This window comes from Homo sapiens, chromosome 8, assembly GCF_000001405.40.
Source record: "Homo sapiens chromosome 8, GRCh38.p14 Primary Assembly".
Taxonomy (NCBI): domain Eukaryota; kingdom Metazoa; phylum Chordata; class Mammalia; order Primates; family Hominidae; genus Homo; species Homo sapiens.
Genome location: NC_000008.11, coordinates 73656383 through 73668823, shown reverse-complemented (window position 1 = coordinate 73668823; position 12441 = coordinate 73656383). Strand labels below are relative to the sequence as shown.

The 12441-nt window shown below is 37.0% G+C and overlaps 1 protein-coding gene across 7 annotated transcripts in view, besides 1 other annotated feature; it reads left to right on the top strand.

Annotated features, from left to right (window-relative positions):
* STAU2 (staufen double-stranded RNA binding protein 2) overlaps positions 1-12441 on the top strand; it is a 327112-nt gene that overhangs the window by 78657 nt on the left and 236014 nt on the right. The gene's annotated exons all lie outside the window — the stretch shown is intronic.
* Positions 3056-3350: a silencer, noted in NCBI's record as "tiled region #7553; K562 Repressive DNase unmatched - State 12:CtcfO". NCBI's record gives its function as "represses a minimal TATA promoter and a strong SV40 promoter by Sharpr-MPRA in K562 cells {active_cell/tissue: K562}" and the evidence as "EXISTENCE:reporter gene assay evidence [ECO:0000049][PMID:27701403]".

Sequence of the window (12441 nt, the reverse complement as noted above, 5' to 3'; positions counted from 1 at the left end):
TCTTTTTTAATGATGAGTGGAGAAAAAAACATTTATCCATGAGCAAACTCTGTAGATACAACTTGGATTCTGAAGTACCTGTCTCCTTTTATTATGCCCAAGATGTTTGACAATAATTACATCCGGTTATGTATTTTTCTTTATCATTTGAGGCACTTTTCACTAACAGATATATTATGAAGCAGAAAGCATATAAAAATTCATTTGACAAAGTACAAGGTAAAGCTTGGAGAACACTTCGTGCTTTTGTTCTCCCATCTTTCTTATAAAAATTATGTACATTAGAGAAATAGAATGGCTGAATTTAGACAGTTTTTCAATTTTGTATATTCACAGATAAAAAAATATTATTGCTTAGCAAATGGCCAAAATGGCAGACCAGCAGACCAAATGGCCCCTTGATCTGCTGGTGTAGATTTCCATGGGGCCAAAACTCAAACTAGGTTATGTGCAAATGGGAATTTTTGAGCTATGTAACTGGGATATCTCTTGGGGAGATGTACAGGCATAGTTGGATGTAGGGCTTTAGTGTTGTTCTTCCTCATTTTCTATTTCTCTCTTTCTAGCTCTTGTTTCTTTTTTTCTCTACTTTGTTTTCAAATAAGCCAATTCCCATTTGCTATACTTCATACACTGTATAGTCTGTAGACTTGTAGTGAAGAAGGTGAAGTTTTTTTTTTGATAGTCATTAGAAAAGTCCCCACAAACACTTGGAGTAAACTGTCCATCCTGGAATTAATCATTCAAACTTGGTTGGGGGTAGGGACATACTTTACTTTAGCCAAGCCTGGGTTATATGTCCAACCTGGAGAAACAGGTTAGCCCCATCCAAACTACTCCGCAGGGTACAATTATTTTATGGAGCGGTTCCTCAAAAGCAAAGATTTTTAGAGAAAATTATTTCCATTACAGTCAGAACATTTGGTTCAGTTCCTAGTTCTGATGCTTTTAGTTAAGTGATCTTGCACAAGGCTCTGGACCTCCATTAATTTCCTCATTTGCAAAACAGAGATAGTAATAGCAAATGAAGGACTTTCGTGAGGTCATCTTCATTCAGCAGACATTTATTGCATGCCTACTCATTGCCACATGTTGTGTTTGAGTAGAGACTTTGAGGAAAGACAGGCAGTCTAATAGACTTAAGTTTAGTAGAAGAGGAAAACGAAAGAACAGAATGATAGATGTGCCCCGATGGTGCTATGGAAACATTAGGAAGGAACTAAGCACCCCATCCAGATTGGGGCACCAAAGAAGCCTTCCAGGAGGGATGAACTGAATCTTCAAGGTTAACTAGGATTTAGCCAGGTGAGGAGGGCAAGGAAAAGTAATACAGATTTTGGCAACAAAGGCTAGGAATCCTGAGAAGTTTAGTTCATTCATGGACTTAGAAACAGTTCGGTAAGTCTGGAATGAGAAGAGTGAAGTCTAGGCAGGGCCCCGATTTGAATGTCCTGAATTGTCCATGCCACGAGGTTTGGATTTTATTCTGAAGGTGATTGGGAGTCATTGAAGGATTTTAAGCTGAGGGATAAAATAATTGGATATATGTTTTAGGAATATTGCTTTGGCAATATTCCTAAAACTTGAAGGGATAAAGAATTACGACAATGTTGTTGTAATTCAGGCATAATGTGATGCAGGCCTGGAATAGTGCAGATGGAGAGGAGGGGACAGTGTCTATAGATATTTAGAAGGTAGACTTGATTGCATTTGGGGTATTAAGGATAACTTCAGATATTTGGATGGCTAGTAATACTGTTCACCACAAGAGTAGTTGGAGCAGGTTTTTGGAAAGATGAAGAGTTTAATTTGCACTATGTTGCATTTAAATTGCCTACGAAGTATTTAGGAGTCATTTTATCACTCTTTATGGCCACAATGAAGGGTAGCAAAGATTATCTTTGACTTTAAAGACTTGTTGGAAGTAGACGTGGCAAGAGGTAGTATAACATCTAGAGCTTTCAGAATAGGTTTGTGTAATATATCTTAAGAAAATGGCAGTTTAGGATTCAACCCAAGTTTGAGTGACCTATCAGCTCTTTGTTCATTGAAGGTGTATCCTTTCTTCCCCAAAGGGTTTGTTTATTTGTTAACACTCAGTTTGGAACAAGTTTATGGCCTACATTCTCATTAGATGTGTTTAGTATATTTTATGTCAAGGTTACCTTTAGCTAATGTATCCAGTTCTTGGCCCAATCTCTTATAGCTAGGTTGGTCAAGTTATTTTCTTTTAATATATGTTGAGTCATAGCAAGTTAAACAAGAAGAAAACAATTTGGACTATTTTGCCTGAATGTTACTTGTTTCTATGGCCAGAATTAGACACTTACTTAAGGCTTCTTGGTTTTTCATTGTACCCCTGTGAAATAAATCTGTGAGACACGGAAATCATTTTACAGATAGTGATGGCTATCAGTGGAAATTTGATAGGGCGAAAGAAGTTTTTTGAAACATCCAAATTGACTTGATTGCATTATGTTAATTATCAGTAAAATTAATAATAGCCAAGATTCTGATTTATGAAAACAGCTTGTTTATTACATTTCAGTTTATGTTATATAGGCTGATGATTTGTTGCTAAGTATTGTGATGTTGGTGTGCTATTTATTCTGAGGTTGTTCAAACTTTGCATATAAGATTTTTCACTCATTTGTAACACCCTCTTAAAAAGCATATTGGAAAGTACAACAGTTGATGTTGAATATTCAGTTGGCCCCTCGTATCCCTGGGTTCTGTATCCATGGGCTCAGCATTCATGGATCCAGCCAATTGTGGATTGAAAATATTCAGGAAAAAAAGGGTGGTTGCATCTGTATTGAACATGTACAGACATTTTTTTCTTGTCATTATTTCCTAAACAACGCAGTGTAACTACTATTTTCATAGCATTTACATTGTATTAGATATTATAAGTAATCTAGAGATGACTTAATGTATATGGGAGGATGTGCATAGGTTATATGCAAATATTAAAATATTAATATTTTATATCAGGGACTTGAGCATTTTATATCAGGGGCTTGAGCAGCCATGGATTTTGGTATCTGTAGGGGGTAAGGGTGAAGGTCCTGGAAACAATTCCCCACAGATAACCTAGGGATGACTGTATTTGTACCAGCAGTGATATGAACAGTTACAAACCTACAGTTTTGGTTTCTGCCACCAGATGGTGCTTGTATACTGATCAAACAACATACAGACTGGGTGAGCTCACTTTGGTTACTATTCCAAGGCCATTAAATTAGAGGTTAAACCGTATGAAACTGCCAATATTTGACGTTTCTTTGACCTACAAATATGTCAGTTTCATATGTTCAACCCAATAGGAAAAAGTCATCCAAGTATACAACATTAAATTCTCTTGGATAAATGAAGTAAGCATAAAGTGGTGAAAAGCCCAATTTGTTTCAATAGATATAGAACTTTGCCTTTTGTATACTACATCCCTTGGTTTGGGGAATATATTCTTTTCTCTTTTCTCATATGCTTTACACATGGAATGTGTGTCAGAACTCTTAAACTGATTCTACTTCATGTAGATATCACTTTATAGAATAGATGTAGAACTGAAAGATAGGCAGCAAGGTAACTTTTTAAATATTTTGTTAAAAATAATGTTAAATTATTAACATTAATGTTAAATTAGGATTTTTTTTTATTTGGGAGAAATTAACCTAAACCCATAACAAAGACGCATTAGAAATGTCTTTTTAAAACTCTCATAAACCAGAGAAGAAAATTTGAACAAGTTACCAAAGCAAGGATGAGGAAGAGTGAACTTAAGATCAGTATCCCCCATGGTCACAGATATAAAAATTATTATTATTATTTTTTGAGACAGTCTTGCTCTGTTGCCCAGGCTGGAGTATAGTGGCCTGATCTTGGCTCACTGCAACTTTTGCTTCCCAGGTTCGAGCGATTCTCATGCCTCAATTTCCCGAGTACCTGGGACTACAGGCGCATGCCACCACACCTGGCTAATTTTTTGCATTTTTGGTAGAGACAGGGTTTCAACATGTTGCCCAGGCTGGTCTTGATCTGCAGACCTCAAGTGATCTGCCCACCTCGTCCTCCCAAAGTGCTGGGATTACAGGCATGAGCCACCATGCCCAGCCAGATAAAAATTCTTAACAAAATATCAGCAAATTAAATTCAGCCGAATTTAAATAACATTATGATTAAATGAAGTTTATTCTAGGAAAGCAAGATGAATTTAGTATTCAGTAATCAAAGTAATTAACCCAATTAATAGAATAAAGGAGAACAACCATATCAGTATCTCATTAGGTGCAGAAAAAACATTTGACAGAAGTCAGCGCTCACTAATGATATAGACTCAGCAAACTAGGAATGGAAGAGAACTTTCTTAATCTGATAAAGGGCTTCTTCAAACAACCTCCAGATAACATTATGCTTTATAGTGAAAGACTGAATACTTGTAAGATCAGGAACAAGGCAGTAATACACACTGTTATCACTTCTGTTCAACATTATACTTAAGGACTGGTACGGTGGCTCATGCCTGTAATCCCAGCACTTTGGGAGGTCGAGGTGGGCAGATTGCTTGAGCTTAGGAGTTTGAGGCCAGCCTGGGAAACATGACCAAACCCCATCTCTGTTGGCGTGTGCCTCTAGTCCCAGCTACTTGGGAGACTGAGGTGGGAGGATTGCCTGGGCCTGGGAAGTCAAGGCTTCAGTGAGCTGTGATCGCCACTGCATTCCAGCCTAGGCAACGCAGTGAGACCCCACCTCAAAAAAACAACAAAGAACCCCACATTATACTTGAGTTCTATCAAGTGCAACAATAAGAAGAAACAAATGGGGGAATATTGGAATAGGAGATATAAAACTATCTTCATAGACACCATGATTCTGTATGTAGAAAATAATAAATCAAAAGTACTGAAAAGCTACTGAATAAGTGAATTTAGTAAGGCCACAAGTTGCAAGGTTAGTATACAAAAATCAGTGGTATTTCTAGTAAATAGTAATGAGCAGTTGGGGAATTAAATAGCGTGAAAACATATTCAGAGATAAATTTAATAAAATAGGTACACAACCTGTATAATGAAGGCTATAAAATACTGCTCAAATTAAAGAAGACTCTATTATTTAAGATTTCAGTTCTCTCAAAGTTGATGTGAAGATGCAATGCAGTTGTAACAAAAATCATAGTAGAGTTTTTTTTTTTTTGGTAAAATTAATAAAGTAGTGCTGACATTTGGAGATGCAAAAAAACAATTTGGCTACTGCAAATTGTTTTTGCAGTAGCCAAAGCAATTTTGAAAAGAACAAAATTGGCTGGCCCACACTACCTGACTTCAAGATTTGCTATAAAGCTACAATAATCAAGACAGCAGAAAATTAACATAGGGACAGATATATGGATCAGTGGAACAGAATAAAACAGCAGTTGGCAAACTATAGCCCATGGGTCACGTCTGGCTTGCCTGTTTTTGTATGGCTTGCAAGCTAAGTAATGTTTTTTACATTTGCAAGTGGTTGGAAAAACATCAAAAATAAAATGATATTTTACAACACATGACATTTAGATGAAATTGAAATTCTAGTGTGTGTCAGTAAAGTGTCATTGGAACACAGCCACAGTCACTTGCTTATGTGTTGTATATACTTGCTTATTTATAGTCTGCTTTTGTGTTACAACAGCAGAGTCGAATAGATGTAATAGATCATATGGCCTGCAAAGCCCAAAATATTTTATATTGGGCCCTTTACAGAAGTTTGCTGATCTCTGGAATATGGAGGCAAGAAATAGATCAATCCATATATGAACAATTTAATTCTTTCAAAATTAATTCCAGTGAAGGTGCTAATGGGGAAAGGATACTCTTTCCAACAAATAATAGTAAAATAATTGGCCTTTCTGACAGAAAAAAAAAAGAACCTGGGCTGGGCGCGGTGGCTCATGCCTGTAATCCCAGCACTTTGGGAGGCTGAGGCAGGTGGATTACCTGAGGTCAGGAGTTCGAGACCAGCCTGACCAACATGGAGAAAACCTGTCTCTACTAAAAATACAAAATTAGCCTGGCATGGTGGCGCATGCCTGTAACCCCAGCTACTCAGGAGGCTGAGGCAGGAGAATTGCTTGAACCCGGGAGGCAGAGGTTGTGGTGAGCTGAGATTGTGCCATTGCACTCCAGCCTGGCAACAGGAGTGAAACTCTGTCTCAAAAACAACAACAACAACAACAACAACAACAACAAAAACCCCTGAACCTTGACTTCACACCACAGACAAAAATAAATCAGAAATGGGTCATAGACATATATGTAAAAGTTAAAGTAAAATTTCCAGAAGAAAATACTTTGCTACTTTGGAAATAGACAAAGATTTCTTAGAACACAAAAAGCACGGATCATGCAACAATTGAGAAATTACATGTCATCAAAATTTAAACATGGATCATGAAAAAATTGAGAAATTATAAGTCATCAAAATTTAAACTTCTGGTACTAGAAAGACACTTTTTACAAAATGAAAAAGCAAGACATATATTAGAAGGAAACATTCGTAATACATATATTTGAAAGAGGACTTCAGAATATATAAAGGAATACCTACAACTCATTAATAAGGCAAAAATGGACAATATTTTTGAATAGACAATAGAGATAAGAATGGCTAATAAACACATGAAAAGATGCTCAAAGTGATTAGTCATCAGGGAAATGCAAATTAAAACCATAGCTAAAGTTTAAAAAGACTGACAACACCTAGTGTCATGGTGGGGCAACTGGAAGTCTCATATATTGCTGCTGGGGATATAAAATGGTACAGGCACCTTGTCAGAGTTTATGATGTTCTTATGAAGTTAAGCATGTAGTACTTATCTTACCACCCAGCAATTCCATGTGGTATTTACCTAAGATAAATGAAAATATATGGCCATTCAAAGACTTATACATGAAAGTTTGTAGCATTTTTCTTTATAATAGCCCCAAATTGGAAACAACCCAAATATCTACCACTAGGTAAATGGTTACACTGTAATGTAACCATGACTTGGCATACTATTCAACAGCAAAACTTGTGATTCATCCAATGATATGCATGAATCTCAGAAACAATATGCTGAGCAAAAGAAGACAGGACAGATACATAGTGTAGGTACTGTAAGATTCTATTTTTGTGGAATTCTAGAATAGGCGAAACTAATCCGTAGTGACAGAAAGAGGTTCTTTGATTGTCTAGATTTGGGGCTGGGAATTTCCTATACAAGGAAAGTTTTGGGGGTGATAGAAATGTTCTGTATTTTCATTTTGGTGATTGTTAATATGAGTGTATGTCAAAATTCATCAAACTCTGAGCCTAAAATAGGCACATTTCATTAAATGTAAATTTTACCTCAATAACATTGATTTAAAAAATAACATTTTGTAATCCTCCATTTTCTTTGAGGCTAAAAATATTTATAAGAAAGCGCCAGATTTTTGCTTCTCAAGCATTTGGCCAAAAACATTGTAAATGTTTTTCTAGAGGTTAAAATAATATTTACCTTATAGGGTGTTTGAGGACAGAATGATAGGCTGGTTCAGTTGCTTAGCTTCTGCCTTTGTGCACTGATTGTTATTATAATTGTTAGCCTTTATTGCATTTTAGCTTGTTTAGTTACAAGTACAAACTCTGGAGTTGGAATCATAGTTATGTGGATTTGAGCAGGTTATTCGACTTCTAATTCTCGGTTAATTCACCTGTAAGTTAGGAGAATAAATAACGCTTCCTTACAGTGTTGTTTTCAGGTTTTAATAAAGTAATTCAGTGACCATGCATGACCCTTTACCTTACTTTACTGTAGTGTTTTGAGTTCCTTTAAAAGAATCTAAATATCAGTGTATTTGTACTGGACATTGTTACTGTGGGAGATTTAAAAGAATTTACATCTGCTTAATTAAAAAAATTAAATCAGGCTGTGATTCTGTTATTATTTCTGGGTGTATGCTTTATAGGAGGAATGGCTGATTCTCTATTGCATATGGATATTTTTGGCCCGTGTTAAAATTTACTTGACCCTGGAATAATGTTACCCAGAGAATCATTTCTCCCTTAGAAAACTGCGCATATCAGGAGTTATTAAGTTAGGATTTAAACATGAGCTTTGGAAAATCTGTGGCCTTTGTGTAATTATATGCAGCATTTTATACACATACCTCTTCTGCCTTGTCTAGCTTGATAGCCATTCAAGCTGGTCTTTCAGCTTTCTCAGCGTTCATTCCCAAGGAATATCTGGTCTGTTTTCTTGCCACAGAGTTAGTATTCAAGTACTAATAACTTGGTAATACATTTACCATGATAGAACTTCAGGACTCCATGCTCCTTTGTTCTGTTTTTAGAGGCAGCCAGGCAGGCCCAGGGATCACCACTTAATCTTGGTCCTGAGCCGGTGTCTCGCTCTGTCACCCAGGCTGGAGTGCAATGATGCGATCTCAGCTCACTGCAGCCTTCGCCTTCGGGTTCAAGTGATTCTCCTGCCTCAGCCTCCTGAGTAGCTGGGATTACAGGCATGCACCACCATGCCCAGCTAATTTTTGTGTTTTTAGTAGAGACAGGGTTTCACCATGTTGGTCAGGCTGGTCTTGAACTCCTGACCTTGTGATCCGCCCACCTCAGCCTCCCAAAGTGCTGGGATTACAGGATATGTCACACAAGTTTAACATTTTTCATATCCCCTTTAGACAAAAACAAAAGCATAAGTAAACAGAGCCAATTCTTAAATTAAAAAATGTCTATAATTTTGGGTTGACCTTAGTCTGATTTTCATTTGGTCACTTTTTTTTAATGCTATTGAAATCCTTTTTGAGTTCTTTATGCTAAAAGTTTAAGCATTATTCTCTACAAAAGTGAATATAAACAAAGTGGCAACAAAAAGATAATTACCGTAAGTTTTTCTCCCCTCAAGTTTGTTGCGATTATTTAGGAAAATATAGCCATGACTTAAATCTGATTAATACTGAATTCGTAATGTTTTTACAACAAGGGGTCTATCTTTCTAGTCCTAAAGTTATTTAAAAATTTTAACAACTTTTGTCTAGAAAGGGAGAAATAAATAGCATTCTCTATTCTTTTATTTGAGGCTAGTTTTATTAATCTGTTGCTCAAGCTCTGAAAAATACTTGGTTTATTTTGTGTTTGAAGCAATGCTCTTTCACCAATATCTTTATTTTTTTGTTCAGTTGAGCAAAATCTTGCTTAGCAATGTTTATTTACTTGTGTTTAAAAAAAAATCTGGGTACAATGACAGTTTAAATTATGAAGCTCTTCTTTTTTTGAGACAGAGTTTCGCTCTTGTTGCCCAGGCTGGAGTGCAATGGCGCGATCTCAGCTCACTGCAACCTCCGCCTCCCGGGTTCAAGCAATTCTCCTGCCTCAGCCTCCTGAGTAGCTGGGACAACAGGCATGTGCCACCATGCCAGGCTAATTTTGTGTTTTTAGTAGAGACAGGTTTTCTCCATGTTGGTCAGGCTGGTCTCGAACTCCCGACCTCAGGTGATCTGCCCGCCTCAGCCTCCCAAAGTGCTGGGATTACAGGCATGAGCCACCAAGCTAGGCCATGAAGCTCTTTTTAATATGTCATGTGACATATAAATACGTGGGCTTTCAGTATTCAGAATTCTGAAAGGTTTATATAGGTTGCCAGTCATTGCTCTAAAAATTCCGAAAAACTTTTGAAGCTTTTTTTTCTGCTTTGTTTTGGAGGGTTCCTTTATGAATCAAAAAACGTTATCCACCAGCTGTTTCTCCTTAATGCTCAATCACTTTTTATGCATTTTCTTCAAATACTGATTTTCAGTGAAGGTTTTGTGAAGTTTTAGTGTCCGTTGGATTTAGAAAGCAATTTAAGTATGGTTGGTTTTTTTTTTTTGTTGTTTTTGTTGTTGTTGTTGTTGTTTTTTGAGACGGAGTTTCTCTCTGTCGCCCAGGCTGGAGTACAGTGGCTTGATCTTGGCTCACTGCAACCTCCGCCTCCCAGGTTCAAGCGATTCTTCTGCCTCAGCCTCCAGAGTAGCTGGGACTACAGGCACGTGCCACCATGCCCAGCTAATTTTTGTATTTGTAGTGAAGACGGGGTTTCACCATGTTGGCCAGGCTGGTCTTGAACTCCTGACCTCGTGATTCACCCGCCTCGGGCTCCCAAAGTGCTGGGATTACAGGCATGAGCCACCATGCCCGGCATAAGTATGGTTTTTAAAACAAATTTGCTTTGACTATTAATGAGGGTTTATGTTACATGTTTATAGAAGTTTCTGCAATAACATAATTTCTTGGAAATGTAATATTGTGTCTAATAAATTCTGGGTAAGATTTTGGGTGATCATCAAATAGGCCTTGTTCCAAACTTTGTTTTTATGTTGATTACTGGAAACTTGGAATGTATTTTCTCATAGAAACATTGTGATAAATGGTGGTGAACTTCCCAAGATAATTTTTTTTTTTAATTGAGATGGAGTGTTGCTCTGTTGCCCAGGCTGGAATGCAATAGCACGATCTTCGCTCACTGTAACTTCCCCTACCTGGGTTCAAGAGATTCTCATGCCTCACCCTCCCAAGTAGCTGGGACTACAGGCGTGGGCCACCACGCCCGGCTAATTTTTTAATTTTTTTTTAGTAGAGATGGGGTTTCACCATGTTGGTCAGGCTGGTCTTGAACTCCTGACCTCAGGTGATTCGCCCACCTCAGCCTCTCAGAGTGCTGGGATTACAGGCGTGAGCCACCGTGCCCAGTCCCCCAAGATAGTTCTTAAAACCCCGTGTTACTGAGTGTGACTATTGTGCCTTTTAAATATTTTTTTTTTTTAATGGAGTGTTGCTCTGTCGCCAAGCTGGAGTGCAGTGGTGCAATCTTGGTTCACTGCAACCTCCGCCTCCTGGGTTCAAGCGATCCTTGTGCCTCAGCTTCCCTAGTAGCTGGGATTACAGGTGTGCGCCACCACACCCAGCTAATTTTTGTATTTTTAGTAGAGACAAGGTTTCACTATTTTGGCCTGGCTGGTTTTGAACTCCTGACCTCAGGTGATCTGCCTACCTCGGCCTCCCAAAGTGCTGGGATTACAGGCATGAACCACTGTACCCGGCCTCTGAATTCTTTTTAGCAAATAAAGTTGTCATTGACACCTAAACCTGGTAAAGACAGTACAGAAAAGGAAGTTGCAGTCTAATACCAATATAAATATAGAAGAAAAAAATGAGCAAATAAAATCTAATATGAAATTAGTAATAATATATACCTTCTAAAAATTTATGTTGAATTTAATTCATTCATTTGAATACGTTTATTGCTATAACTGTTGAAGGTTATGAATTCTCCTTCGACCATTGTTTTACATTTGTACTATAGTTTCTGCTATGTAGTATTTTTATTATTCTTTCAGTATTGATTTTCTAGTTTGTATTTTCCCTTTCATGTACAAATTACTTAATAAAAGGTTTATTTTTCAAGTAGAAGGGCCCTTTGCTTTTTAAAATTTTGTTATTAATTTCTAGTTTGTTATATTTTGATTTGAGACTGTAATATCTCCACCTTGTGGCACTTCCTTATGCTTTCTTTGAGATCAAATGGAGGATCATATGTACACACATATACAGCATAACATCTTCTGTAAGAGTTTGTTGCTTTGGTCTTTTATATGTTTTTTTGTCCACTTGATCTGTGTTGTACTGAGAGTGATGTGTTAAAATCTCTTAGTATTTGTGTGCTTCTGTTTATATCTCCTTGCATCTCCTGTAGTTTTTGGCTTCAGGTGGCTGCTGCATTATTTGGTGCATAGGTATTCATAACTGTTATATATCACTGAAGAATTGCAGGTTTTAGCATTAATACCTAGTGTTCGCCATTAATACCTTTTTGCTTGAACTCTGCTTTGTCTGATATCAGCATAACAATCACTGCTTTCCGTTTTCATTAAGCTAGTACAACTTTTTAGCTTTTCTCTGTTTTTGGTGTCTCTTGTATGTAGTGTATATTTGGGCCTTGTTTTATGAGACAAATTTAAAATCTTTTTTGTTTAAGCCTGAAATGTATTTGAGTTGAGAAATAAAGGCAGATTTTGATTTGGCATTTGGTTGACAGCGGGTGTTTACCATAAATTAAATGAGCTGTTTGCAGCTCTACCATTTGGGTAAAATATATTTGAAGTGTATGATAAGATCAAAACATTTTATAAAACAAATGTTATTTCAGCAAAAGGATATTGGAATTAACAATATTTTGATGTTTTCTACCCTTTTGGACTATATAAAATTAAACTGCTAAGGGAAACAATAGCAGGTATAATTCATAATCATTTGATAAGTCATAGTAATACTGTTTTGGAATATTTCCCAGAAATGGAGAATCTGAATAATTGTAGCAAATGTGTAATGCATCCTTTGTAAGTCAGGTAGTTTCTGGTTACTTGCTTTCAGCAAATTGTGAGAGGACTTAAC